Source organism: Homo sapiens, chromosome 9 (assembly GCF_000001405.40).
Source record: "Homo sapiens chromosome 9, GRCh38.p14 Primary Assembly".
NCBI lineage: Eukaryota > Metazoa > Chordata > Mammalia > Primates > Hominidae > Homo > Homo sapiens.
This window is the reverse complement of record NC_000009.12, coordinates 135499917-135526590: the sequence shown is the minus strand read 5'-3', so window position 1 is coordinate 135526590 and position 26674 is coordinate 135499917. Positions and strand designations below refer to the sequence as shown.

The 26674-nt window shown below is 55.5% G+C and overlaps 2 protein-coding genes and 1 long non-coding RNA gene across 13 annotated transcripts, besides 11 other annotated features; 1 reads left to right on the top strand and 2 right to left on the bottom strand.

Moving 5' to 3' along the window:
• Positions 1–50: 50 nt before the first annotated feature.
• LCN1 (lipocalin 1) lies at positions 51–5151 on the bottom strand. Of its 6 annotated transcripts, none has more exons than NM_002297.4 (7): positions 5004–5151; positions 4414–4544; positions 3289–3359; positions 2601–2711; positions 1660–1761; positions 1433–1459; positions 51–247 (listed from the first exon to the last, which is right to left on the bottom strand). In NM_002297.4, exons 1-6 carry the CDS (start codon positions 5091–5093, stop codon positions 1434–1436), a joined length of 531 nt encoding a protein of 176 aa, NP_002288.1. In that variant the 5' UTR covers positions 5094–5151; the 3' UTR covers positions 51–247; position 1433. The 6 variants fall into 6 exon arrangements, with proteins under 6 accessions (NP_002288.1, NP_001239546.1, NP_001239547.1 ...); NM_001252617.2 differs by having other exon boundaries at positions 51–242; NM_001252618.2 differs by having other exon boundaries at positions 1660–1757.
• Positions 1403–2286: an enhancer, noted in NCBI's record as "H3K4me1 hESC enhancer chr9:138416151-138417034 (GRCh37/hg19 assembly coordinates)". NCBI's record gives its function as "activates a minimal SCP1, AML or CMV promoter by ChIP-STARR-seq in naive H9 embryonic stem cells {active_cell/tissue: H9 hESC(naive)}" and the evidence as "EXISTENCE:reporter gene assay evidence [ECO:0000049][PMID:30033119]".
• Positions 8518–9018: an enhancer, noted in NCBI's record as "H3K4me1 hESC enhancer chr9:138409419-138409919 (GRCh37/hg19 assembly coordinates)". NCBI's record gives its function as "activates a minimal SCP1, AML or CMV promoter by ChIP-STARR-seq in primed H9 embryonic stem cells {active_cell/tissue: H9 hESC(primed)}" and the evidence as "EXISTENCE:reporter gene assay evidence [ECO:0000049][PMID:30033119]".
• Positions 9019–9519: an enhancer, noted in NCBI's record as "H3K4me1 hESC enhancer chr9:138408918-138409418 (GRCh37/hg19 assembly coordinates)". NCBI's record gives its function as "activates a minimal SCP1, AML or CMV promoter by ChIP-STARR-seq in primed H9 embryonic stem cells {active_cell/tissue: H9 hESC(primed)}" and the evidence as "EXISTENCE:reporter gene assay evidence [ECO:0000049][PMID:30033119]".
• Positions 11009–11690: an enhancer, noted in NCBI's record as "H3K4me1 hESC enhancer chr9:138406747-138407428 (GRCh37/hg19 assembly coordinates)". NCBI's record gives its function as "activates a minimal SCP1, AML or CMV promoter by ChIP-STARR-seq in naive and primed H9 embryonic stem cells {active_cell/tissue: H9 hESC(naive and primed)}" and the evidence as "EXISTENCE:reporter gene assay evidence [ECO:0000049][PMID:30033119]".
• Positions 14596–15159: an enhancer, noted in NCBI's record as "NANOG hESC enhancer chr9:138403278-138403841 (GRCh37/hg19 assembly coordinates)". NCBI's record gives its function as "activates a minimal SCP1, AML or CMV promoter by ChIP-STARR-seq in naive H9 embryonic stem cells {active_cell/tissue: H9 hESC(naive)}" and the evidence as "EXISTENCE:reporter gene assay evidence [ECO:0000049][PMID:30033119]".
• On the top strand, positions 20144–23318 carry LOC101928525 (uncharacterized). Its single transcript, NR_121579.1, has 3 exons — positions 20144–20747; positions 22272–22355; positions 22890–23318. It is a non-coding gene; the product is annotated as an uncharacterized LOC101928525 (long non-coding RNA).
• Positions 20252–21225: an enhancer, noted in NCBI's record as "H3K4me1 hESC enhancer chr9:138397212-138398185 (GRCh37/hg19 assembly coordinates)". NCBI's record gives its function as "activates a minimal SCP1, AML or CMV promoter by ChIP-STARR-seq in naive H9 embryonic stem cells {active_cell/tissue: H9 hESC(naive)}" and the evidence as "EXISTENCE:reporter gene assay evidence [ECO:0000049][PMID:30033119]".
• On the bottom strand, positions 21918–26626 carry MRPS2 (mitochondrial ribosomal protein S2). 6 transcript variants are annotated; one of them, NR_051968.2, is made up of 5 exons: positions 25838–25909; positions 25468–25593; positions 24618–24747; positions 24325–24522; positions 21918–23049 (listed from the first exon to the last, which is right to left on the bottom strand). NR_051968.2 is itself a non-coding variant. In NM_001371401.1 (5 exons), exons 2-5 carry the CDS (start codon positions 25878–25880, stop codon positions 22458–22460), a joined length of 891 nt encoding a protein of 296 aa, NP_001358330.1. In that variant the 5' UTR covers positions 25881–26021; positions 26540–26626; the 3' UTR covers positions 21918–22457. The 6 variants fall into 6 exon arrangements, 2 of the variants coding, with proteins under 2 accessions (NP_001358330.1, NP_057118.1); NR_051967.3 differs by lacking the exon at positions 24325–24522 and adding an exon at positions 23313–23455; NM_001371401.1 differs by lacking the exon at positions 24325–24522 and adding an exon at positions 26540–26626 and having other exon boundaries at positions 25838–26021.
• Positions 22254–22408: a silencer, noted in NCBI's record as "fragment chr9:138396029-138396183 (GRCh37/hg19 assembly coordinates)". NCBI's record gives its function as "represses an EF-1alpha promoter that drives an FKBP-Casp9 reporter gene in an ReSE screen in phorbol 12-myristate 13-acetate-treated (for megakaryocytic differentiation) K562 erythroleukemia cells {active_cell/tissue: K562(+PMA)}" and the evidence as "EXISTENCE:reporter gene assay evidence [ECO:0000049][PMID:32094911]".
• Positions 25060–25684: an enhancer, noted in NCBI's record as "H3K27ac hESC enhancer chr9:138392753-138393377 (GRCh37/hg19 assembly coordinates)". NCBI's record gives its function as "activates a minimal SCP1, AML or CMV promoter by ChIP-STARR-seq in primed H9 embryonic stem cells {active_cell/tissue: H9 hESC(primed)}" and the evidence as "EXISTENCE:reporter gene assay evidence [ECO:0000049][PMID:30033119]".
• Positions 25640–25799: a silencer, noted in NCBI's record as "silent region_20487". NCBI's record gives its function as "represses an Ori minimal core promoter by ATAC-STARR-seq in GM12878 lymphoblastoid cells {active_cell/tissue: GM12878}" and the evidence as "EXISTENCE:reporter gene assay evidence [ECO:0000049][PMID:35858748]".
• Positions 26010–26179: a silencer, noted in NCBI's record as "silent region_20486". NCBI's record gives its function as "represses an Ori minimal core promoter by ATAC-STARR-seq in GM12878 lymphoblastoid cells {active_cell/tissue: GM12878}" and the evidence as "EXISTENCE:reporter gene assay evidence [ECO:0000049][PMID:35858748]".
• Positions 26450–26619: a silencer, noted in NCBI's record as "silent region_20485". NCBI's record gives its function as "represses an Ori minimal core promoter by ATAC-STARR-seq in GM12878 lymphoblastoid cells {active_cell/tissue: GM12878}" and the evidence as "EXISTENCE:reporter gene assay evidence [ECO:0000049][PMID:35858748]".

Below are 26674 nucleotides of genomic sequence, written 5' to 3'. Positions count from 1 at the left end.
AGCACCCAGCCAGCACCTCTCACCCCGAGGGACCCCACAGACAGGCGGAGTCACTGGGAACTGCTGAAGCTCTTTATGGAGAACCAGGAGAGGGGGCGCAGGGCAGGGGGAAGGCGGGGGGTGGTAGGAAGGGGTGCAGCCAGCCGCGTTCTGCAGGGGTGGGGAGCTTTTTCCATGTCCCTGTGAATGACGGAGGTGCTGGATGGTGCCGTCCTTGGGCTGCTGAGGAGCCAAGGTGTCCCCTGCCCTGGAAAGGGGGGGAGGGTGAGTGAGGCCAGGACAGCAAGGGTGGGAGGGGGATGCAATGTGGGGGCGCATGTGGGCTCTTGGGTGCTGCAGTGTGGGGGCCCATGTGAGCTCTCAGGGGCATGGTGTGGGGGGCACACGCTGCACTCTTGGGGGCTGTGATGTGGAGGGCACATGCAGGCTCTCGGGGGCTATGGTGTGGGGGGCACAGCAGGCTCTCAGGGGTGATGGTGTGGGGGGCACATGTGGGCTCTCAGGGGCATGGTGTGGGGGGCACATGTGGGCTCTCGGGGGCTATGGTGTGTGGGCACATGTGGGCTCTCGGGGGCTATGGTGGGGGTACACACTGGGCTCTTGAGGGTTACGGTGGAAGGCACATGCGGGCTCTCGGGGGCGATGGTTGCGGGGGCACGTGCTGGATCTCAGAGGCAATGGTGTGGGGGACGTGCACCGGGCTCTAGGGGGCTATGGTGTGGTGGGCACATGCGAGCTCTTGGGGGCGATGGTGTGGGGGGCACACACGGACTCTTGGGGGCTGCAGGTGGGGGCTCCAGCCTCTAGATTGGAGCGGATGGAGCAGGGACCACCCCCGCAGGCTGCTGACAGAGCTCCCTGCTGAGTGAAGTGGCATCAGGGTGACTGCAGGCCAAGGGGAGGGTGCGGGAAGGACAGCGATGCTGTCCAGGATTCTGGCTCTGCCCACACCTGGGCAGGTGACCTTGGGCGAGTCTCCAAACTCTGGTCCCCTTGTGCAGCCAGCAAGGGGCCCATCTGACACAGCGAGCACAGGCACGCCTGCCACTTTGCTGAATCTTTGAGCAACTTATCGGGTAAGTGGAGTCACAGGCATGGCCGAGGGTGAGGGGTGCTGAGGAGGAACCCGAATCTCCTGCCTGCTCCTGCCCATGTGACTGGGGGGTAGACACCGTCTCCACCAGCAGCCAGCAAAGGCGGGCTCAGCGCTGTGGGCTTCCCAGCTGCCCAGGAGTCACACCCAGGGCAAGAACGGAGTCTGACGCCCGAGCGTGGGCAGCTCAGGAGCAGAGCTCCCACCTGCCTGACCTACGTGGGGCATCTCCCACCCAGGTAGGAGTGGGATGGGTGGGAGAGACCCCATGGCCTCTGGAAGCACCACTGAGCCCCAGAACTGGATTTTCTCAAATGTCCTCTAAAGCTGTTCACTCACCCTAATCGCTCCCTGGAGAGCAGGTTTCTGCAGGAAAAGGAAGCACAGGCGTTAGGAGACCCCAGGAATGCAGTCAGGACCGGGGCCCCTCATCAGCCACCAGCTCCACCACCCCAGGAAGGACAAAGCCAGAATTAGACGCAGCACAGTTATGCGCCCGTGCAATGCAGCTCTGCTGATGTCCCCACGCGGGGACATGGGGGGCTCTGCAGGGCCATGCCTCCTACCGCTCTGCCTGGGGATGAGGATGCTCTCCGTGCTGAGTCCGCGGGCTCCTGCGGCTTTCTCAAAGTCCTCCAAGGCTTCCAGGTTGTTCTTGGGGTCTCTGCCTGTGGGTGCCAGGACGAGATGTGGGTGCTCGAGGCAGCACTGGGCCGACGGCACCCCATCCCAGTCTGGAGGCCTGAGCTGGGCTGGGGAAGGGGACCTCGCCCACCGTGGGGGGAATTGAACCCAGAGGCCCTCAGGCTGGCAAAGTGGGACCAGGGTGCCGTGCACGGCTGAGAAGGCTCCTGTGGCAGCAGAACCGGGAGAACGGGAAGGGCTCTCCATCCATCCCTGAGCATCTCCCGGAGTGAGGATGGACGGCACGACAGGCCCACCCTGGAGGAAGCGCCTCTCCCCTTGGGGGCACCAGGATCCCAATCCTCTGTCATTCGCACACCCCTGGCTCCAGGGAGAACTCAGGAGCCTTCATGGGCCTCGTCCTCTGACAGGGACAGCACTGATGAGTCACCATCTGTGGGAGGCACCGCGTCCGGAATTCAACCCCGGGAGCTGGAACGTTCTTTCCATGCAGACTTCTGCTCACATCCCTGTTCCTCTCTCCTGCTGGACACCCCACAGGAACGCGCTCAAGGATGACACTGCAGGGAGCTGCTCCGGGGGAGGGCCTGGCCCACTCTGGGACATGTGTGACCTTTGAACCCCTGTGCCTGCAGCCGTGGCTCCTTCCTGCCTCTGCTGCAGATACCGAGGCCGGGGCATCCCAAATCCTGAACTCCAGGGGTGGGAATTGAGGCCTTTATCAGGAAAACTCATCCTAAGAAAACTGCAGTGGGTTCCTGGGTCCCAGTGGCTTCTCCCATGGGGAAGAGGGTGCAGGAGGCCGAGGGAGGAGGGAGGGCAGGTGGAGGCATGGGTTGCAGGGTGAGGGTGCGGGACCCACCCACGAGCTTCACCCCTCGGACCGGCTTCCCGTGCAGCTCGCCCTCACAGTAAAAGATGTAGTGGTCCTTCACGTGCGACCTGATGATGTATGCCACGTGCTTGCCCCCGTCTGCAGAAAGACAGCAGCACATTCCTGAATTAGCCACCAGGGACTTCAGAGAGGATCCCGGGACAGCGTGCGTTGCCAGGCCCAGCAAGCCCCGCAGCTCCTGCACCCTCCCAGCCTCCCAGAGCTCCCTGACCCAGGTTCCCCACCAGGCCTGAGCCCCAGGCCATGGGACCCCCACTTCCCAGGAACCTGATGTACCCAAGAGGCGGCCACATCCCAAACCAGTGAGTCACGGGGGGTTCCTCCGGGTATGAGGTCTGCGGAGGTGGGAGTTGGGGTACAGCCCCCCGCAGCCAAATACGACTCTGCTCCTGGCCCTGCCAGAGCCACAGCCAGGGCTACAGGGCAAGCCCAGAGGGTCCGCCCCGGGACAAACCTGCCACACCTGGTGTTTGGGGTCAGGTGTTCAAGTCTCTAATGCAAATTGACCAGTGGGAGAAGAGAGTGGGCTTTTAGTGGAGTCAGAAGGCAGCAAAAGGCTTCCCAGGCCAAAAGGCCACCCCAAAAAGGCACTGGCTGCCCCCGCACATCCAGCGTGTGTTCAAGCTCAGGCTCTGGCTCAGGCCCCGGGACTCACCGGCCGTGTATTTTCCCGGCTCGTCAGTTTTCTCCAGGACGGCCTTCACCTCCTGGCACCGGCCACTTATCCTGGAAAACAGAAGCCCCCTGGCAAAGCGGCCCTGGCCTGTGCCTCCCCCGGCCCTGGAGCAACCATGCTGCAATGCCCTGCAAATGTGGCCCCGAGTCTGCCACAGGCCCATGGAGGAGGGTGCTTCTCTGCATCTCAGACCCAGGCACCAGCGGCCCCTCCGGGTCCCATGCGGCAGTTCCCGGGGTCTCCCGAGATGGCCAGGAGCTCTGCACCGCTCCTCCTGGTGGCTGCCTTCCCAAACCCCCCGCCCCCAACACATTTCCTGCCAGAGGCACCCAGGCTGCCTGGTTTGCAGGCAGCGTCTGTGGCGTGGGCCTGAGCCTCATCCCGCCAGCTGCATTCTTCCTTTTAGAGACATTCAGGCACAAGCCCCATATCCATCATCATCTGGCCCAGAGAGGGAAAGGTTCAGTGAGGGGCTTTGGGGGAAAAAAAAATCGGGGTCATTGCCAGGGTCAGTGACTTCCTGAGATTCAGCCCCCAGGACCGGAGCACAGGCACTGCATGCCACTCAGGAGGGAGCCATGCGGGTGAAATCACACAGGTGGGAAGTCACAGATGTGAGCCACGCGGGTGGAAGCAGCCCAGGTGAGAGCCGCACAGGTGAGCGCTACACAGGGATTTCAAGGGGGTCTTCTCCATGGTGTCTTCTCCTATGCCCCCTCTTGGTCATTCTGCAAGCCCCATCCCTGCACTTCTCCAAAGCAGAAATTTACTGCCAGGACTGGCTCTGACTCTGGTCGGGGGTAAACACCTTTTCCCAAAGGGGCCTGCACGTCACCAGACATTCCCTAGTCGGAGGAGGAAGTGGGCGGTACCCAGGGCTGCCACTGGTAGCCCACAGGGTCTGATCCGGGGCCTCTGCCCCCTCAGGGCCCCTCCAGCCGAGGCACCTCAGTGGCACAGTTTGCCCTCAAGCATTGCAGGAGGGGCCGAGAGAGGCCTCCCAGCAGGTCTGCCCACCTCCCCAGCACCAGAGCTCTCCTGGGTGGGGAAAGGGAAGGCCCTAGACCAGGTTGCAGGCTGCCCGGCCGGCTGGCAGACACTCACAGCATGGTGACCTTGGCTTCCAGGTTGCCCCCTTCCAGGGTCGTGAGGGTCATGGGTGTCACCGATTCCAGATTCATCTCAGGGAACTCCCTGTCCACCGTCATGGCCTTCAGATACCACGTCCCTGACACCTGGAGAAGGCCCCTCTCTATCAGGCTCAGGCCGACTGCTCCAGAGCCTCCCCCTTCCCTGGCCTGCAGCCCCTAGACTCTACCGCACCCCGAGGGCTGGAAACGGGGAACGTTCCCCAATCTAACCCACCCAGAAAACACCCAGCACCCTCGCCAGGCCCACTTGAAGGTGGCTCCAGCCCCCACAAGCCAGCCAGGACCACAGGAGCCCTCATCCCCAGGGAAGAAGTGAAGTCAGCCAGACCCCCACCCTCCCAGCCCTGCCCACTCTGCACCCCTGCGCCACCTACCCTGCCAGCCCAGACCCCTGCTGCCCCATCCCACCATTCCCTCAGGGCAGGGCTTGAATGCCCAACCCAAAAACGAGGGTCTCCTTGGATGGAGGAGGCATGGGGTCTCCATCCAGTCTCAGCCTCGCCCCTTGCCCCCTCCAGCCCAGCCTTCCCATCCGGGCCTCACATCCTGAATCTCCTCGTCTGAGGCCAGGAGGTGGTGGGCCTGCAGGGCAGCAATGAGGCCAAGGCTGACGGCCAGGAGCAGGGGCTTCATCTCCGGAGTCTGAGTCCACGGCCGCCTGACAGGTCGCTTGCTGGGGCTGGGAGAGGCTGTACCAGTCCTCCCACAGCCGCCCTTTATACCGCTGGGCTCAGGGTCCCCCAGGGACCTGGCACAGGAGACTGACCAATCCCTTCCTGGATGTAAACCACTGCCAGTTCTGCAATGGAGCAGATAACCTGCCATTATTGTTGGAGGCTGGTGAATAACAGCTTGTTAATCCCAGAGGATCACTTGGACAGGACCAGGTCCAGAGGAGCAGATTTGCAGATTTCACCTGAAGGGAAACTGAAGGGAGTGAAGGGTGTGCAGGCCTCCTGGGGACGTGTGCAGCCGTAACAGATGCCCCCCAGCCATCCCACACTTGCTGACGTGCACACTGTCAAGGGGGTTTGGGGTTGGAGTCCGAGGGCCGTGGGCTTGGGGCTCAGCTGAGCTTCCTGCATCTCTGGGCAGGTTACTTGGCCTCAGATTCATCATGGAAAAAAAGGGACCCTCCTGTGTGAACACGATCCCGTGTGCATTTAAAGACGGTGTCCACTGTCCTGAGCAAGGTGTGCAGTAACGACCCTCTCTGCTCCACACACAGAGCAGCAATAGGTCAGACAGACAGAAGACCAAGACAGGTGTGTGTGTGTGTATGCATGTGTGTACATATATACATGCACAAACGCACACACACTCACATAAAACAAGGAATGGAGGAGAAGCACAGGCTGGTGATGGGGCAGAGGCAGGGGCCTGTCAGCTCCAAGTCCCAAGGCAGGCAGAGAGGGCCTAGGTCCGGCTCCTGGGAGTGATGGGAGGGGCTTCCCTGACTCCAGAAAGAAGGCTGAGAAACCCTCCTTGACACATCCCAGGGCTGTAACTTCGTATAACTTAGTGGAGCACTGTGGGCATAGGAAGGCAAGAGGACATCAACACAGCCTCAAGGGCAGAAGCTGAGACAAGCCGTCCTTGGAAAGGATGACTTTATCTGTGACATGCTCTGCATCACTGCAGAGCAGAAGCCTGGGACCCGGGATGGGAGCAGAGGCTACAAAACACTGCTAGACAGAGGACAGTGACAACAAGATGGCAGAGAAAGGCAGAAATGCAGAGACACAATATCCTCACCTTGAAATAAGCTAGAAAGGCCAGGTTCCAAATTACCCAAGGAAACACCACACTAAGAAAGGCAGGCTAAAAATGAGCAATTGGTACAGGAACTTACACCAGCCAAGGAAAGTCTGACACACACTTTAAAACTGCAGGAGTATGATCAAGATGCCTAGTGATTTAAAAATATATAAAGTATAAAATTAGAACTGGCCAGAATATAAGAAATAAGGAGAGACGAAATAGAAATAATTACAAATCTTGAAGATGAATAATAAAGTGAATAAAAAACTCAATAGACAGGTTAAATTCCAGACTTGACATAGTAGAAAAGAGACTTAGTGTCATGGAAGATAGTACTAACAAAATCAATGAAAGCAGAAAAATTCAAAAGAGAAATTGAGGTGTTACAGATAGATTCAGTCTCCAGCCTGGAGCTAGTAATAAAATGAGTGGAGGAAACCAACTAGAGTGCAGCAGCTCTGAAAACACAACACACAGAGATATACACACACACATGCACACACACGCACACACACATGCACACACACACATGTGCACACATACAAATGCACACAAACCCATACACATGCACACCCACATACACACGCAGACATACACGCGTGCACACACCATTCATTCATACATACATGCACATACATGCACACATACACACACACATGCACACTCACACACATACACACATGCACACACATGCACAAAGTTAACACACATGGAGAATAGATCAGGAGGTTCCAATATAAACAGAATAGGAGTTCTGAAAGAAAAACATTTTCTAAAATGGCAACAAAGCAACAGAATAGCTCAGAATTCTTCAGAATTGAAAAGACATGAAGATGACACCCCAGATCTAAATTACCAAGGAATGATCAAAATTGAGAAATCCACTCCTAGAATATTACAGTGAAATGCAGATCATCCAGGAAAGGAGAAAAAAAGTCAAAATGACCAGAAAGAAGAGCCACACTACATACCATAAAAGCGGATGTGGACTGATGGCAGACCTCTCAATAGCAACGCTGCCTTCCGGAAGACAGTGGAGTGACGTCTTTAACAGACCCGGGAGAAATCACATTTACCTGTGAATGTTATTCTCAGTGCAACTTTCATAAAATATTGAAGGCAAAATAAAGACATCTCGGACATTAAAAAACAACTGAGGCCCAGTGTGGTGGCTCATGCCTGTAATACCAGCACTCTGGGAAGCCAAGGTGAGGTCAGGAGTTTGAGACCAACCTGACCAACATGGTGAAACCCCATCTTGACTAAAAATACAAAAATTAGCCAGGCATGGTGGCGTGCACCTGTAATCCCAGCTACTCAGGAGGCAAAGGCAGGAGAATTGCTTGAACCTGGGAGGCAGAGGTTGCAATGAGCTGAGATCATGCCACTGCACTCCAGCCTGGGCAACAGAGCAAGACTCCATCTCGAAAAAATAATAATAATAAAAATTAAACAACAACAACAACTGAGAGCGTCTACCACTCACTGGTCTCCATCAAAGGAAATTTGAAAGGGAGAATTTTAGCAAGTCTATAGGAGACCGAGGTCAGGGGGATAAATGATGTCAGCAAGGCAAACTACCTGCTGGCTGTACAAACACAAATGGTGCAGACTTTGATGGTGGGGGAAAGGTTCTGTTTCAGTGCATATTTAAAGAGTGCTAAATGCACACAAAACACACTTGTGCCCACATGCATGGGTTCATACGAACAAGAATGCACACAAAACACACTTGTGCCCACACGCATGGGTTCATATGAACAAGAATGCACACACAAAACACACTTGTGCCCACATGCATGGGTTCATATGAACAAAAAGATGCACGTTAAGCACGGGAGAATAGCGATGCATGGAGAGGGAAGTGGAAAGGGGTGGGCAGGGATAATAAATTTTCAAAATACATAAACAAGCCTGTTAGACAAAAGCATGATTTATTTTTCATCAGTATAGATGAAAAGGGCGCCAACATGAAAACAATTAAAAGCACAATCACAAGAAGACGAATGTTCATGAATGTGAAGGCATACCGCATCAAAATGCAGGAAGCCAAAACAGACTGAAGAACAAAGGGGTCAAATACACAGTCGGAACGGGAGACGCCAGAACTTCTCCATTAGAAACAGAGGGCGAGGGTGTTAAAAGTTCACAGCAATGTTGGAGCTTTGGCACCAACATTGTAAAGTATACAAAGACACTGCCTCAAAAGCTAAACAATTATATTGTTATAATTGTTACAATGAAAAATTTTAGTTGCTAATTCTTATTAAATACACATGGAATAGTTTTAAAATAGGCCACATACCAGGCAATATGGGGAACTTCACAGAACTAACGCAGCAGAGCCTGCCCTTTGTAGCTACAAGGCAATAAACTAGAATCGACAATGAAGAGACTGTTACATAAAGAGAAATATAAACTTCAAGTTTACAGCCTTAAACGCATCTATAATACAATAAAGATGTCAGGACAGAAGTCCTCTCTCTGTGAAAAGTTCTCGGTCATGAGCACGCACGTATGCCCCCGGCCAGCTCTGCGCTCCTTCGTCAGGACAGAAGTCCTCTCTCTCTGTGTGAAAAGTTCTTGGTCATGAACAGGCATTTATGCCCCGGCCAGCTCTGTGGTCCTTCGTCAGGACACAAGTCTTCTCTCTCTGTGTGAAAAGTTCTCGGTCATGAACATGCACGAATGCCCGGCCAGCTCTGCGCTCCTTCGTCAAGACGGAAGTCCTCTCTGTGTGAAAAGTTCTCGGTCATGAACACGCACGAATGCCCCGGCCAGCTCTGCAGTCCTTTGGTGGTCACCTCGCAAAGGAGAATTGATCGGAGCTGCTGCTTACGGGGCAGATGCCCGTGGCAGCATCACCACATGCACATCGTGACGGCGGCCGCGTGTGTCACGCAGCCCCCAACTGATGATGAGAAACCAACCTGAACCTCACGTCAGCGGGAAGGCTGAGTTACCTTTCCATTCTATTTATGAAAAATTATTTTCATAGGAAGCAGTAATCAAGGGGTAGCAGCCAAGAGATATAGAAAAAATAAGTTTGATAGAGGTATGCCTGGGAGTAACTAATCAAATTTTTTTTCTTCCATTTGGTGATGTTTATTGCACCTATCAGCTTTTTCATGTGCGAGCCTTGTGATTTTTTATCACTTCAAATAAATATTTCTTTTCATATCTAACTTGGATTCATATTGCTATTATTATTTAAAGTAACCCCTAAAGTTTACGTATATTTTAAGCCCCACAAACTCCATCTACTCCTGGCTATATCTGTGAGTTTAATTTCCTTTTAAAATAATCTGAACATATACCAATGAGATTTTCTAATGCCGGGCATGGGTGATGGGTGTTTTTGTTTTCGGCTTGCTCTCTGGGTGCTGAAATAGTCAGGATTAGGACAGCGGACCATGGAAAAAGTGCCCGGATGTGCTGGTACCTGCAGCTCAGGAGAAAGGGAGGCAGCGTGAATGACACGTTCTTTTATTTGGGTTCTTGCTGCTCCCACGTTACTGTCACAATATTTTCCATGGAGTTGAAAAGTGAATGCCCCAAGACAAGCACAGAGGGTGCAGGGGTTGGGGTGTCCCGAGGGTGGGGCTGTGGTCAGGGCCTGGACTCCTCGCACTGCAGCTCCTCCTCTGTCCCCGGGGTTCCGTCCTCCTTGGTGGCCTGCAGGGCCTCTGTCCACTGCCAGGCCACCGACTAGGCTACAGAGACACGGTGACAGTCAGGTTTCTCAGGTCCCCCGGGCTAGAGGAACACGTGAGCCTTTCAGCCACCCCGTTGACCACACATGAGACAAAGGCAGAGGGGCCGCCTGGTCACGGAGGACGAGCAGCCCTTTGCCCCGTCTCCTGGAGGCTGGCGCTCAAATGAGTAAACCCAGGGAGTCCTGAGGTTCTTCCTGCCCAGACACAATGCCCTAGTGAGGTCACTTCCTGACACACGTTTAAAGGAAGCACACGTGTTATAAATCTTAGAAAGGTGGAAGAGGGGAGAAAATCACTTCCAATCCCACCTCCGCAGTGACTCACTCGTGAGATGGAACAGTTTCCTTCCTGTCTTTTTTCTAACAGAGTGTTTTGCATGGATGCGGTGACACAGATGTGTCACCTGCCTGTGACCGAAGGGAGCCGCAGGAAGGACACCCAAGGGCCTTGTGGTGTCTCTCCTGCACCCTGCACTTCCCCGGGGCCAACACCAAGGGCAAGGCCAGCCGTGGCGGGCAGCAGCCCCTCTGCTGGACACGGCGCCTGCCCCAAGGCCAAGGCTCCAAACTCGGCCCCCTACTGAGCATCTGATTTCCTGAGTCCCCCTCCGAGGGCTCCGGGATTTGACCTCAAAGTTCCCGCCAGCCTTGGTCTGTGTGTTTTAGTGTGTGGCCTTCTCTGTCCGTGCCCTGCATCCACCAGACCGCTGTCATCCTTCAAAGCCCAGCCCAGTCCCACCTTCTCGGGGAGGAAGGGGCTCTGCCCGCCTGGCCTCCAGGGCGTCTTGGGCCAGGGCAGCCGCAGTGGTCCCTGCATGTCCCCGTCACACATGGGTGCCTGTCCTGAAGGAGCCCAGTCATCCTGACAGGACTCGGCCCTCTCTGGCCACCCAGGGTCCCTCGCCCTTCCGGGCTGGGCTCAGCAGAGGCTCTTGGGGCTCAACTGGGCTGAGTGGAGTCGCGGGTGGTAGAAGTGACGGGCTCTTGGCCATGGAGGCCCAGGGCATGGCAGGGGGGCCCAGGGCGCATTCGTGGAAGGGCTGCTTCCCGGGAAAGGTCGCGCTGTGTTTGTGTTCCGGCTCTTTCCTCCGCCTGAGTTCCTCCGAGGCCCTGGCTTATCTGAATACAGGACCCTGTGTGCCACAGCATGCACCATGTCACGGTGAATGTCACACAAACAGGAACGTGCCTGGAGGCTGCCTGGACCTGTCCTCCTGCCCATCAGCTGCCAAGGTGATGCTGTGGACACGGCCGTCCCCACCTGCTTCCCGACTCATGGAGCTCCTCATGGGCTCAACACCCCCTTCCAGAAGGCTGGTCCCGGGAGGGGAGTGGCAGGCAGTGCAGCCAGCATGGGGTCCGTGAGCCAGGGGGTGGAAGAGGCCCCGTGACACGGGGAACACACTAAGCTCCTAGTCCAGCTCTTCTGGAGGACCAGATGCCCTCACTCTGCACCTGGGGAAGGGGTACACAGAGGGCTTGAGGCCAGCAAAGGAACTGCCCCTCAAATCTTACTCCGGGATCGGCACTTTTCTGGAAGACCCCAGGAATAAGGAGAAGGAAGGGCAGGCAGGAGGGAGGCAGGGAGTCCCAAGTCAGGTGCCACTGAGAGGGGGTGGCGTGACCCTGTCCAGGTTGTCTCCTGGGAAACTGAGGCCCAGCCAGGCAGAATCAGGTCTCCTGGCCCCAGATACCACCCGCCACTCAGGCAGCTGCTGCCTGGGAAGCTGAAGATGTCTGAGGTGGGGGTTTCAGACCACAAGCCACGTGGAGGGAGGCCACGTTCCCCGTCCTCCCACCTGCACACCTGCCCTCCCCTGCTGGGCTCCAGGAAGCCCTCTCTGGGGTGGGAGTGGGTGCTAATGTTGGGTGCAGCTCTTTGGTTCGGTGACTCCTTTTTGGCAAAAGGGCTCAGAGATGCAGCTGAAGCCGTACCAGCCTTACATTCCCACAAAGGAGCTGTTACTCTCGTGCCCCTTCAATGGGAGAGGAAGGTGAGGCTGGAAATGGTGAGTAAGGGGCCAAGCTCGCTCAGAGGCTGGTATGACCCCAGGCTTACACCCGCCAGCAATGTTGAGGCACCGAGAGCTGAGAAGGGCTGAGGGTGCCACGCTGGGGGGGGGACCAGGTCCGACCTGCCCCCTCCTCTGAGACCCTCTCCTTCCCTACTGTGTTGGCCTTTGAAGCCCACGGTTTCAGCATCCATCACGGACCCCACCACACACCCAAGCGCTGCTGAGGACTTTAACTCCTGCTTTGGAATTTTCAGTGCTTCTGATTATTCGTAGACTCAAAATCAGAAGAGGCTACTTGCCCTAAACAGAACATGGTATATTTGCATTGCAGATCATTTTACATTTTTAAGAAAAAATGCAGTTTCTCTACAAAGTCATCCCCCTCCAAAAACAAAACAAAACAAAAAACCTCCCTAGGGATTCTGACAGGGCTGCCATCAGGCGTGTGACTGATTTGGGGATAATTCCCCCATCCCTTTGCTTTCCATTACCCTGTGGCCCCCGCGGCCTTCAGGGCAGGTGGCCTTGCCTTGTGAGCATCCTGCCCGTTTGGGGGCATTTCCTGGGCACCTGGTAGAGCCATAGGTGAGAATGGCCCCAGTGGTACTGGGCAGATGTGAGCACAGGGACAATGTTAGTGCAGGAAGTCAGGGGCCCGTCAGGGCTGTTGGTGGCTGACGCGGCATCCATTCCCCTCCTCGCATTCCCCCAACACACCGGCACCCTCATGGATGGTGACCACGCTCGCCACTCTGGAGTGCATCTGGTTGATCTAACGGGGCACTGTCCCTCTGGTCTGTGATTGCTCTGGAATGGGCCAGGGATCCCGGAGAAGAAACACACACAGGGCATCTGAGAACCGCAGCAGGGGCTCCAATTGGAATGAGCCAGCCCTGGGGGCCTTGAGGAGAGAGGCAGGAAGCGCCCAGTTCTTGACGCCATCACGGAAGCCTGCCCCACGCCCGTACTCCAGCCACGTGGGCCACGCAGGGCCAGGCAGGCTCAGCGGTGTGAGGCAAAGCACGGTGCCCGGTGTGGATGCCGCATGTGTTGAGCCAGCTGTGCTGTGGACAGGGCACAGCAGACAGGCATGGGATGTGGGCATCGGGACGGGGAGTCATGGCTGGTGTGAGTGCCTCTGGAGAGGGGAGTGCTGGGCAGCGAGAGGTCAGGGAGGCGTGGGGGCTTGGGACAGCCACCAGCCACGTCAGAGCAGCACTGCTGCTGATTCCCAGCAACACGGAATGAGGCCTCTTGGCAAAGTAACAGGATGTATCTTTGAAATGGCAGCAGCTGACCTTTAAAACAGAGGCAAGCCGTGCCTGTCTCAAAACATTTAAATCCTCACCCCAAACCATTATGCAGCTCACTGCACCCATGGAAAGCCAACATCAATACCTGTGTGCATGCTGGCCTCCCTGGCTTGGCTGTTTTATGGGGAAATGGGTATCAATCACGCAGCTCACTGCACCCGTGGAAAGCCAACATCAATACCTGCGTGCACACTGGCCTCCCTGGCGTGGGCGTTCTTTGAGGTTGCTGGCTCAAAGCCCCCAGCACTGCCAGACGGGGAAACCGGCAAACCCAGGAACTCCAAGGCTCAGCTCAACAGCCACACCCTTCCATAGGCCAAAAGAAGCAAGAGCTTTCTCTTTCTCACTGTTCTCAGGGATTCATTGTCTTTGTTTCTGTTTTTTGTTTTGTTTTGTTTTGTTTTTGGGAAGGGGGCCATGTCACAGGTTACTATAGAAACAACCCCCAAACTAGATGGGTGACGAAGCTGTTATTCCTCAGGGAGGCTCTTCGACTTGAACCAATTGTGGGGTCATTCTTTAGAAAACGGCTGTTTTTGCTCTGGGAACATTTCTAAGTTCTTTCTTCTTCCTTTGCCTCAGTTGGGGGCAGCATCGCTTCTGGATCACCTCTGATCGCTTCCTTTTCCCAGCTTTGTTGACATATAGTGTACACATCACAATGCTTATCCACTGTACAATTCAACCACTCTTAGTACATCTGCAGGCCTGTGCAGCCACCAGCACGATCTGGCTTTAGAACGTTCCCACTACCCCAGAAAGGTCTCTCGTGCCCCTGAGCAATCAATTTCCAATCCCTTCCCCAGACCCTGACACAGGAATCCACTTGCTATCTCTAGAGACTTCTCTATTCTGAACATTTCACGTAAGTGGGATCATACATATGTGGCCTTTTGTGTCTGTTTTTCCGCCCCCCCCGCCCTGAGTGTACTGTCTTTTTTTTGTTTGTTAGTTTGAGACAGAGTCTCACTTTGTCGCCTAGGCTGGAGTGCAGTGGTGCGTTCTCAGCTCACTGCAACCTCCACCTCCCGGGTTCAAGTGATTCTCCTGCCCCATCCAGCCTCCCGAGTAGCTGGGACTACAGGCATGCACCACCACACCTGGCTAATTTTTGTATTTTTAGTAGAGACGGGTTTTGCCATGTTGGCCAGTCTGGTCTTGAACTCTTGACCTCAGGTGATCGGTCCGCCTTGGCCCCCCAAAGTGCTGGGATTACAGGCATGAGCCACCGTGCCCGGCTGAGTATATTATCTTCAAGGTTCATCCGTGTTGCAGCGTGTGTCAGACCTTCATTCCTTTTCGTGGGTGAATAGTGTTCCATTGTATGGACAGAACACATTTTGTTTATCCATTCACCAGTTGATAGACATTTTGGCTTTTTCCACTTTTTGGTTATTATGAGGAATGGTGGTATGAGCATTCAGATACAGGACATATGTTCTCCATTATCTTGGGTATATGACTAGGCGTTGAACTGGGGGTCATCAGCCACACTACACTTAACCATTTAGAGAAATGCTGGATTGTTTTCCAGGATGGCTGCACCATTTCACACTCCCACCAGCAACCAGGTGTCAGTTTCTCCACATGGATGACAATACTTGTTATTGTCCTTTGTTTTTGACTAATGCCATTCTACGTGGTGTGAAGTGGTATCTCATTGTGGTTTGATCTGCATTTCCTGAATGACTCATGATGCTGAGTAGCTTCATGTGCTTACTGGTCACTCATCCATCTTCCTAAGTGAAAAGCAAATGCAGGGTGAATATGCTTCCTGGGTGAAAAGCATATTCAAATATATTTTACATTTTTTTTTTTAGTTTGAGTTGTTTGTCTTCCTGTTATTAGTTGTAAGAGTTCTATCAGATGTATAATTTACAAATATTTTCTTCCAGTCTGTGGCTTCTCTTTCATAATGGGTATTTCTTGAATCACAAAAGTTTTAAACTTTGATGAAATACTTTTTTTATGGATTATGCTTTTGATGATGTGTCTAAACACTCTGGCTAACTTAAAGTCCTGAAGATGTTCTATGTTTTCTTCTAGATGTTTAATAGTTTTGGCTCTAACATCTAGATTTATGATCCATTTCGAGTTAATTTTTTAGTATGAGGTACAGGCCTAAATAAATCTCTTTCATGAGGATATCCAATTATTCCAGCATCATTTGTTGAAAATATTACTCTTTCCCTATAGAACTGCCTTGGCATCTTTTCAAAATCAACTAACCATAAATGTTAGCGTTTATTACTGGACTCCAACTTTAGTCCATTGATCTTTGTGCCCATCTTTATGCCAGGATGACACTGTCCTGATTGATGTCACTCCAGGAAGCTTTGAAGAGAGAAATGTAAGACCTCCAACTTTATTCTTCTTTTGAAAAAATGTTTTGGTGTCTCATATACATTTTAAGATCAACTTGTCAATGTTTGGAAACAAGCAAATCCAACTGGGATTTTCTGAGTGATCGAGTTGAATCTGTACATCAGTTGGGGGATATCTGCCACCTTGACAATACCAAGTCTTCTAATACCATGGAGTATCTCTCCATTCATTTACAACATCCTTAATTTCCCTCAGCAGTGTTTTATATTTTATAGTTTTCAGTATGCAAGTCTTCTTCTTTTGTTAAATTTGTTCTTTTTTTTAAAAAAAAGTATGTTGTTCTTTTGAGGGATATTGTGATTGGAATTGTTTTCTTGGCTTAATTTATGGATTGCTTATTACTAGGATAGAGAAACACAGTTGATATTTGAATATTGATCTGGAATCTTGTGACCCTGCAGTACTCATTTATTGCAGTTCGTCGTTGATTCCTTAGGATTTCGACACACAGGATTATGTTTTCTGTTAATAAAAGTCATTTTACTTCTTCCTTTGTAATTTTGAACTTTAATCTCTTCTTTAATTCTTTTTTTGTTTGTTTGTTTCTGGTTTTGGTGCTGTTGCTTGTTTGTTTTCATTTTTTTTTTTTTGCCATATCACACTGGCTATAACTTTCATATACTCAGAGGGCCATGCTGTTAAATGCGTAAACATTTATAATTATTTTATCTTCCTGAATAATTAATGCTGTCTTCATTATGAAATTCCCCTCCTTATCTCTAGTTAACGCTTTGTCTTAAAGTCTATTTTGTGTGATATTAATATAACTCCTCCTGGCCGGGCCTGGTGGCTAATGCTTGTAATTCCAGCACTTTGGGAGGCTGAGGCAGGCGGATCACCTGAGGTCAGGAGTTTGAGACCAGCCTGGTCAACATGGTGAAACCCCGTCTCTGCTAAAAAAAATACAAAAATTAGCTGGGCCTGGTGGCACATGCCTGTAATCCCAGCTACTTGGGAGGCTGAGGCAAGAGAATCACTTGAACTCAGGAGGCAGAGGTTGCAGTGAGTCGAGACTGTGCCACTGCACCCCAGCCTGGGTGACACGAGCAAAACTCCATTTCAAAACAAAACAAACAAACAAACAATATTTATGTATATATAAAACTACTCCACATCTCATGGTTATGGTTTGCATGGTGTTTCTTTTCCCATTATTTTGCTTTCAACCTATTTGTGTTATGAATATGAAACGTTTCTGCTCTAGGCTCTAGAGAGCATAAAGTTGGATCTTGTTTCTCAACCACAGTGTCAGTATCTGCCTTTTGATTGAAGTATTTAATCCATTTACATTTAGTTCAGTTATTGCTATGGTTGGATTTATCTCTGACATTTGGCTATCTGCTTCTGATATGTCTCATGTCTTTTTTCCTTTCCTGCTTCCTTTTGTGTCAAGTAGGTACTTCTTTGAATATTTTTTCTGCCCCTTCGCTTTCTCCTCTCCTTGAACTCTGATTATGTGAATATTAATATGTTGATTGTTTCCCACAGGTTCAAGGCACTGTTCATTTCTCTTCCTTTATTATTAGTTTTTGCTGTCAGTCTTCAGATTGGATCATTTTTACTGATCTACCTTCAAATTTCCCTGATTCTTTCCTCAGATCTGCTGTCCATCCCTTCCAGTGAATTTCCATTTCGATTATTAAACTTTTCAGCTCCAGAATAGCTATTCAGTTTTTTAATTAATGAGTATCTCCTTATGTATTTTCTCTAATGAGTCATTTTCATCATACTTTAATTCTTAACATGGCTTACTTTAATTCTTTTTATTTTGAATTCTGGCTTCCTAAGTGTTGTTCCTGGGTCACCATATCTTAGTGATCAGCCAATACCTGGTCAGAGGTGGTGCCCAAATGCCTTGAGCCAGTAAGCCTTCTGCTTCTTGCCAGTGGGTCTGTGTGCGGGGTGAGGAATGCATTCGAGGTTCTGGAAGTTTACCAGTCTGCCCTGGATGTTCTTGTCTTCTGGGCCTCCTCCTGTCTCCTCTGAACATGTGTAAGGCCTCATATTTAGCCAAGGATGAGTAGAGAGCTAGGACCCTCTCTGGTTTTTCCTGAGTGGACACAGCCCTGCACATGAGCAGAATCTTCTAGATCACCAGAGGCATGTGGCAGCTTATCAAGGCTCACGTGTCTCTCTTATTTCCTGATTCTCACTCAAGATTCTGGCTAGTGCACCTTGGATCTGGGAGAGCTGGGGTGGCCATGCTGCTGCTGACCCACCCATGTCTCCTCAGCCCACCCGAGTCCACCTGCAGCTGGTGGAGCTGGTCTCCATCAGGCCACGGCATCCCATGAAACGCCTGCATGTGTCCCTCCTGAGGGCTCTCTCAGGCACCACGGGGGCTTCCTCTCCTCTACACTGCACCAGCCAGCAGAGCAAGGGCATTAATCTCCCAGGGATAACCCTCCACTCATGGGGACAGAGCCCATCCAGGTGGGACCTGGACTCCCTGTGAGGCTGAGTGGGGTCCCCACTTGCAGGGTTTGCTCAAGGCCACTCACCGGCTTCCCACCTCCAGGCCTACCTTCCCAGGTCCTCCCTCAGGCTTCCTGGGATCAGCTGCAGCAAACAACATGTCCCCGAATCCCTGTCTGCTTTCAGAGACCCAAACTCTGCCAAGGTTCCACACTGGCTGTGACTGGAGCAGATGTCTCCACCTTCTGGATACGAGTGTCCTCATCTGTAAGATTTTCCTTGTGCTAAATCATGGAAATCTTTCAAGAAAATCCGGGCTTTAAACACTTTCAATAGAACAAAAGTCGTCCTAAACATTTGCCTCTGTGCCTCTCCACATTCTGTTCCTTATTTCCACACTGTTTAATCAGTGCGTACACGCTGTTGTGGGTTCAGGGAGGTCCGGGAGGGCAGCTTCATGTTTGTTGATTGAATGAGCCCCAACCAGCTCCTTCCCAGATATCTGAGTGGCCCTTGGGCTCTTCAGCCCTCCCCAGAGGGTCCTGCTCTGCTATACCTAGGATGGGAACCTCCCACATGGAATCTGGAATGTTCTCTACAGGTGGGAAAACTGCTTTGCACATACAAGTGAGGCCTAGGGCAGACAGCTTCCCCATGGAGGGGAGAGGAAAATCATAAATAAGAACACTACAGCCCGGGCAGCCCATTCCCCAGGGCCAGGCGTGAGCAGAGCGCTTTCCACGGCCCGTCCCACCCAGGCTTGACAGCAGCCTCACGAGGTCCCCTTAGCTCCCAGTTCTCACACAAACCAACCGAGGCTCAGAGGGGTGAAGGGGCATTGCCAAGACCCACAGTTGGTGGGTGTGGGAGCGAGGAGCCCCTGTGCGGTGGAGCGGGACACGCTCGCCTGTGGAACAGCAGGTCCAGCATCTGTGGGGTGGGGGCAAAGCTTCCACACGTGCCCAGGAAAGCAGGAACGAGGAACGGTCGCTGCTCTGCCCCCAGGTGACGCTCTAGCTTCTCTGTGCAGCCTGCGTGGGGACTCCCACCCTGCAGGTCTCATCCAGGAACAGGGCTGACTCATTTTCACTCTGGGGTGAGCCAAAGGGAGGACGGCCCAAACATATGAACATGAACAAAATGCAGTCGCTCATCGCCATCATGTGAATTGGAGAAGTTCAGGAAGAATTTCTGGGCTATTCCTTCCTATAGGAATATGAAAAGTCACTTTGCACCTGGCCAAGCTGGGGCTGGACGGTGGTGGGGTGAGGGCGGGAGGAGGCCTAGGGTGCTGGGATTGGGACTTGGGGGCTGCTGGAGAGGCAGAACTCTAGCAGGACCCTGGGAGCCACCTGGTGACATCTGGGCAGGAGGCCTTCCCAGCCATCCAGGGGCCCTGGTTGTGGAGACCTCCCCTGCACACTTGCACCCCCAGCCAGCACTGGCCCTTGTTGGTGTCGAGGAGTCCCTGTCCCTCACTTGGGGAGAGAGTGGGGGTCGCCCCCTTGGCCAGTCTCCTGCGTGGAGCTCTGCAGAGACAGCGACCTAGGAACATCAGAGCCCGGCCCGGCCCTTGTCACTTCTGCCCACCTGACCTTCTGCTCTCCGGATCAGGCACAGAGCCGTGTCTGTGTAGACCTCCAGCCAGGATGACATGAGATCCATCTCAAGGGCTGGGGCCCACATCAGCAGAGGCCCACATCAGCAGAGGGCCCACATCAGCAGAGGGCCCACATCAGCAGAGGGCCCACATCAGTAGCTGGCCCAGCTGGCCTCAATCCTCATGGGCCGCTAGGCTCCTGCCCCAACACCCTGCTCTTGCCCAGGGCAGGCTCTCCCCTCTTGTCCCCTCCCCCCACACACCCAGGGAGGGTTGCGGGGGATCAGAGCGGAAGCCTGGCCTGTGCTGACCTCAGGGCTGCCCTGAGCTCCTCCAGGCAAATAGGGATCTTCCGGGCCTCAGGAGTGGGAGTGGCCCAGCCTCGGCAGGGCTGGAAAGGCTCCTTGGCCCTCCCCACCCCACCCTGCCCTGAGCCAGCTCTGCCAGGCCCATCCTCTGGTGGCTGCCTCTGGTCTTCCCCACCATCTGGGACACCAGCTGGTCCAGGCACAGCCTTGCCACAGTCCAGAGAAGGCCACCTCTAATGGGGCCTGCAGGCATTGTGGCCACAGGAGGAAAGGGCCGGGGGGCCCCTCTCCCCACTCCTGGGGCAGCTCCCTTGCCCTTCCCCAGCCTCAGGCACTCTCATCATCTCCGTTGGCCTCTTCTGGGGGCTCTTGGGGTTCATCTCCAGGGTGGAAAACTTGGAGGGCCCCTCCTGGCAGAGTCAAGGATGGGGTCAGCGAGACCCCATCCCCTCAGCCCTCAACCTTTGTTTCACCCAGAGCCCCTCTGAATCCTGGGAGCTGGCTCTTTCCACTCCCCGAGGGGGCCCTCAGGCCCACCCTGGCTGTCCCAGCATGGCCCCCGCGGCTTCTGCGCTGCACCCTTCCCGTCCCTCCCTGCTCCTCATGGTCACTAGTGCCTGCTTATCCACTGGGTCATCCCCTCGGCCAGGGCCCCTCCTGCCCTGGAAGCCCAGCAAGCGCCCACTCGTAGCTCCTCAGCGGGTCCTCGCCGGCCTGTGCCAGGTGCAGGGGCCAGTGGGAGGACAACAGGAGCCACGCAGGCCATCAGCGCAAGGTAAGGGGGACCGGTCGGGACCCAGGGAGCCTGCCCGGGCCTGCCAGCCCCCACCATTCTTACAAGGCGCCTTGGGTTAGCCACAGCTCTGCCTGGGCTGCTCCCCTCCACCCGGCCTCAAAATTAATGACCCCAGAAGAGACCGCCCCGTCCCTCCTGTAGGCTTGTGCCCCACTGTGTCTCCTGAGGTCCAACCCCTGGAGCTGCCTGCAACGTCCTCACTAATGGCTTAGCAGAGAAGGGCCAGGCCTGGACCCAAGCTACAAAGGCCTCTCCCAGGGAAGGATCAGTCGCAGCTCCAGGGGCACCTCCTGGAAGCCCCCCAGTCAGTCCCCAGTGTTTGGTACTCCTGTCTCATCTCCAGGGTCCTGGCTCCCCGCAGCTGGCCTCCCCAGCATGGTGGGACAGGAGACCCAGCTCAGAGTGTCTCACCTGCCCACCCTGAGAGGGATTCTAGGGGGAGCCTTGGAGGGGCCCTCACTTCACCTGCCTTTATACACGTGCATCTTCAGACTTCGGCTTTGCAAATTAAAGCCATGCTGGCCAGAGACCAACCTGAAGCTCAGCTCCCTGTCCCGACCAGATCACAAACCTGTGACAAACCTGGGGACACCTACCATGAACCCCTCACCAGCCTAACCCTGAAGGGACAGGGATAGGCGCTGGACTCCAGCCTCCCATTGCCCTGTGCCGCTCCTGCAGGGCAGGCCTCACCCTACCCAGGGCACCAGACTCCACAGGGCCCTGCTGCCCAGACTCTGCCCAGAGACGGCTCCTTGGGTGGTCAGGTGCATGGGGGGCCTATGTCCTAAGCAGCTCGGGATGGGGCTGGGAGGAGGCCGCAGCTTGTTCCAGGAACACAGCTGTATCCCCACAGGTGAGGGATGTTAAGCGTCCCTGTCAGCAAGTGCCCGTCTTTCCTGAAACTGGGTCCACACCAAGCCTGTTCTGCTGAATGAGGCTGGCCGGGCTGTGGGCTTGTCACGAGCTCCACTGCTGAAGACGGTGCCCTCTAGTGGCAGCTGGCACCTCTGCTGACCTCATTCATGCGCCTCACACACACAGTGCCCGTCCCATCTCTCATCACTGGGGTCCCAGTGTGTGCCTGAAGAAAAACCACACCACATGGATGAAAGCAAACCCACTCGAGACAGAGCCCCAAACTCCAAGTCTCATTTTGCCCAAATCTGAGTTTTATTTTTGCTGGAATCAGGTCATCTGGCCTGGCTGTCCCACCAACCCAGCTGGGAGCCTCTGAGTGGCCTGCCAGCAGCATCTCATTACAAAACAGCCCCCTGGAACCAGGTAGCCAAGGAAGCGGCCCACCTGAAAGGCATTTAGATTGAGAAGAAAAACTGCACCTTCCTGACAAAGGTCAGGGGTCACGGTGAAGGGAGGGCTGCTGGGATCACAGGGACAGCAGCATCTTCTAGCAGCTTGGCCATACCAGCCACTGAGGTCCTAACTGCAGCCAAGGGGCCGTTCTGCACATGTCGCTCACCCTCTGTGCTCTGTTCCCCACAGAGCAAACGCACATGGCAACGTTGGTCCGCTCAGCCACTGGTTCTGTGGTGGAACGGTGGATGTCTGCACTGTGACATCAGCTGAGTAAGTAACAACGACTGAGGATGCCGCTGACCCAGGGCTGGGGAAGGGGACTCCCAGCTCAGACAGGCTTGGCTGTGGTTTGCTTTGGGAGGAGAGTGAACATCACAGGGAATGGCTCATGTCAGCCCCAGGAGGGTGGGCTGGCCCCTGGTCCCCGGGCTCCTTCTGGCCCTGCAGGCGATAGAGAGCCTCAACCTGCTGCCGCTTCTCCTTGGCCCGGGTGATGGCCGTCTGGAAGAGCCTGCAGTAGAGGTGCACAGCCAGCGGAGAGTCGTCATTGCCGGGTACAGGGTAGGTGATGAGGCAGGGGTTGCAGTTGGTGTCCACGATGCCCACTGTGGGGATGTTCATCTTGGCTGCGTCTCTCACGGCCACGTGTGGCTCAAAGATGTTGTTGAGCGTGTGCAGGAAGATGATGAGGTCCGGCAGGCGGACCGTGGGGCCAAAGAGGAGGCGCGCGTTGGTCAGCATGCCGCCCCTGAAGTAGCGAGTGTGGGCGTACTCGCCACAGTCACGGGCCATGTTCTCAATCAGGTACGAGAACTGCCGGTTGCGGCTTATAAACAAGATGATGCCCTTGCGGTAGGCCATGTGGGCGGTGAAGTTCAAGGCCAGCTGGAGGTGCGTGGCTGTCTGTTCCAGGTCGATGATGTCGTGGTCCAGGCGGCTCCCAAAGATGTACGGCTCCATAAACCTGCCAGAGACCCCACCAAGGCAAGGGGGATGAGAGTTCACGGGGCCATCTCCACTGGCTCCTTGCAGGAACACAGACGCCCACCAGGGACTCCCGGGCTCCTCTGTGGGGGCACTATGGGCTGGGAAGCACAATTTGCAACGCTCCCCGTGTGCATGGACAGCAGTGCAGACCCATCCAGGCCACCCCTCTGCATGCCTCGTCTCGTGGCTTAACCCCTCCTACCCTCTACCTCTTCCCGAAGGAATCCTAATAGAACTGACCCCATATGGATGTGTGGACATCCAACATGACGCCAAAAGGACATTCTGCCCCGTGCAGCTCACAGGGCAGCCGCCTCCGTCACTGTCCTCTTCCCGAGGCTTTGCGGATGAGGCCCCTCTGGGGTTGGACTTAGCGGGGTGCTCTGGGCCAAAAGCATTAAGGGATCAGGGCAGGAGTGGCCAAGCCTGGGCGGGGAACCCTGATCCAAAGCACTGGACCACTGCTGGCCTGGGCTGAGAAAAGCGGGGCATGGGAGACACCCCCGCCTCTCGGTGCGTGACAGGCGAGTCATCCACATTTGCGGTTCCCAGGTCCTCACCTCCAGTCTACTCCCACTGGGTTCTGTCCCTTCCTCTCAAGCAACCCTGCCCATCAAGGCACTGGCGACCTCCATCTTGCCAAGGTCACAGCCTTGAATTCACTTCTCAGCAGCATCAACAGAGAACCACATCTCCCCTACCCCCGGCTGTCCCTCTTCACTGACTCCAAACACTGGAGCACCCAGGGCTCCACCTTGGACCTCCTTTTCCGATGCTCTGGAAACACCTGCCAGCCCCCGATGCTGATGGCTCCCTGGGCCCAGGCCCATCCCTCCTGGTAACCGTGTGACCTCTCCACTGGGGCAGCAAAGGGTTCATACCTGGTAGGAACCAAGCTTGTGATGTCCCCCAGGTCTCCCCTGGTTTTCACCATCTCAGTAACCAGTACCAGGCTCCACCCGAAGAGCAGGTGTTTGATCCCTTCGGCCCCAGCCACCTCCCACCCCAGCCCAAGGCCCACTGGCTCTGCCCTGCTGCCTCATGTCCACCTGCTGCTCCAGCTCTTCCGCTACTGCGATTTAAGCCCCGCCACCTTCACCCTGAACGCCCACACCAACCTCCTCCCTGGCCTCCCACCTGCCCCTCCCATCCCCTCCCCCCACAGCAGTCAAAATGACCATGTGAGAATACAGGACCAGTCATTCCTCCTCCCCGCAGCCCAGAAGGCCCAGCCCGATCCGGGGGGACCAACCTTACAGGTTCTGCCCTCAGCCTTTCCATTTCTGAACCCGTGGAGTCCTGCAACCCCCAGCAGGCCTGCCCTATCAAGGGCTGTGAGCGCCACACCAAGGCACACAAGAGCGTCCGCCAAGCTGAGGAATAAACTCCTGCTTCTCTGTGGGGCTCTGTATTCCCATGTGGAGGAGGATGGGGCTGTAATCACCTAAAACTGACATAGGCCAGTTCAAAAGTGGCCCTAGAACCAGAGCAGGTCCCAGGTTCCTCCTGGGAACCGCCCCGGGCTCAGATGGGGGTGTCACCTACCTGTGCCGACAGCCAGCTTTGTGTCCCAGATGGACTCGGGCATCGAAGAGGCTTCTCACGGAAAACAGTTCCTTGACATTGAAGAAGTCAGAGTGCTTGAGGGGCTCATTCAAAATCTTGTCGTTGAAATCTACGGCAGGGAGGAGGAGCGACGCTGCGTCTCCCACCGGTGGCAGCAGAGACAGGCAGAGCGCAGTTCCCGCCCACCCCTGCTCCCAAGTGCCTTCTGTGACACCGAGGTGGGGAGCCGGGAGCCCAGCAGCCCCAGGAAAGACCTGGAAGCACAGGGACCTTTTCAGGAAACAGAGGGCTGGAGCCAGGTTCTGATCCCGACCTTGCTCCTGGGTAAGCCTGGTCGAACCTGGTCAACCCCGTCCCTTGGTCTTACTTGGAAGACAGAGGAGAAAAAGAGAGGGGCCCAGCGGGTTGCTCAGGTCTTTCTGGCACCTCCCCGCCTTGTGGTCTCAGGTGGCCAGCCAGAAAGTCCCCATCAGGAGTCCAGCAAGGTGGGCAGACTCCAAGCCCAGTGCCCCCAGGTCACTTGGGCCCGCCTGGGCGAGCTCGGGGCTCCGGGCCTCGGTGGTCCAGTGACACCCCCCTAGGGAGCGAAGCCTGTGCTAACCACTGGCCCGCCCGCTCCCTCTCACCCTATCCATGGTGAGGCGGTGGCCTCAGCCCGCTGTGCTACGTCAGGCAGGACCGAGCGGCGGCGAGCACGGGAGTGGGAGGAGCCCAGCGGAGCGCGCAGTTTCGACCGCGTGCAGCGCCCAGGCCCCTCTAGGGTTCGCATCCCCCGCGGCTGCCGGCCTCTCCTCGTTCCCACCCAACTCGGCTGGGCGCCCAGTGTTACCGGTGCTGTCCTCCGACTCGCGGATCATAAGGGCCGTCGCGCTTCCAAGCGTCCTGCGGCTCGGCCGAGCAGGCCGGGGGGTCGCCTTCCCGAGAAAGCCCAACCAGCGCGACGGGGCCCGGGCACCTGGGGGGAAGTAGATAGAGGTCCTGGCGCCGAGTCCCGAATGCACCACGCCCGCTCCCCACCGCATCCCCAACGGGCCCCTCCGCGTCCCTAACGGGTCCCCTCCGCGTCCCCGCGCCCTCCCCGAGTCCCCTCCGCGCTCGCCCCGGGTCCCCTCCACGTCCCCGCCGCTCCATCGGGTCCCCGCGCCCCTCCGCATCCTCCTCGCATGCTCCTCCCCAGGGTCCCGCAAGCGCGCGCTCACCCGCGCCGAGTATTCGGGGCAGCGCGGCCGAGGATGTCGCCATGGCTGGGACGCGGGGCAGAGCGAGGTCTCCCTCCAGGCCAGGCCGAGCGGCCTCCCCTTCCGTCGCCATCCGCGCGGGGCCGCAGTGCCGCCTACAGGCCCGGAGGAGCCACAGCGCTGTCCCCAGGCGGCTGGGACCTCCCTGCGGGGGCGGGGCACGCGAGGGGTCAGGGCCCGGGGTCCTGGGCTTGAGAGTCTCGGGCGGGGAGTGGAGCCACGGTCCTCGCCCTGCAGCTCGCCCCGCCCTGCTAATGGGACCGGCCAGCCCGGGAGGCCCCTGACCCTTGGGGAAGCCCGCTGGGCGATGGGGACCCTCGCCTCCCGCCAAGTGAGCTGTGAACCACGTCCTGCGCAACCTCTCGCTCTCCAAAACTGTTTGTAATATTTAAACGATATTTGGCTTAGGAGAATTTCATAAAGTTAGCCAGATCTCGGGTCTCAATTTAGACTCGGGGTGCTGGGGGGCATAGCATCCCTGGAGTACATTGGACAGCAAAAGTCCAATCGTTGCCTGCCGAGTGGACCTGCAGTGCTTAAACCCCGTCACCCGGCTGGCGGGGTCCCAGGCCCTGGGGTTTCTTTCGCCCGGGAGTCCACGCCCTGATGCTGGGGTGGCCCGGTCCCCCCGCGGGTGGCTGGGGGCCTGGGGCTGCCTCACACGACGGTCCCAGCAGGGAATCTCTCGCCGTCCCGACCTTCCCGGCCCTTGGGGAGTCGCCCGGCAGGTTCCGGACCCACCCGCAGAGGAACCCGGCCCACGCGCGGCGCCTTTAAGGCCCCTCCGCTCGCTCCCCA

Excerpts from the sequence above, each read along its gene's own strand:
- LCN1 (NM_001252618.2), bottom strand. The coding sequence starts at position 5,093 with ATGAAGCCCCTGCTCCTGGCCGTCAGCCTTGGCCTCATTGCTGCCCTG. Across the intron at positions 3,360-4,413 it reads GAAGCCAAGGTCACCATGCT|GATAAGTGGCCGGTGCCAGG; the intron begins GTGAGTGTCTGC and ends TCTGTTTTCCAG. Across the intron at positions 248-1,432 it reads CTCTCCAGGGAGCGATTAGG|GGCAGGGGACACCTTGGCTC; the intron begins GTGAGTGAACAG and ends CCCCCTTTCCAG.
- MRPS2 (NM_001371401.1), bottom strand. The coding sequence starts at position 25,880 with ATGGCGACATCCTCGGCCGCGCTGCCCCGAATACTCGGCGCGG. Across the intron at positions 24,748-25,467 it reads CGAGTCGGAGGACAGCACCG|ATTTCAACGACAAGATTTTG; the intron begins GTAACACTGGGC and ends TCCCTGCCGTAG. Across the intron at positions 23,050-24,617 it reads AAAGCTGGCTGTCGGCACAG|GTTTATGGAGCCGTACATCT; the intron begins GTAGGTGACACC and ends GGTCTCTGGCAG.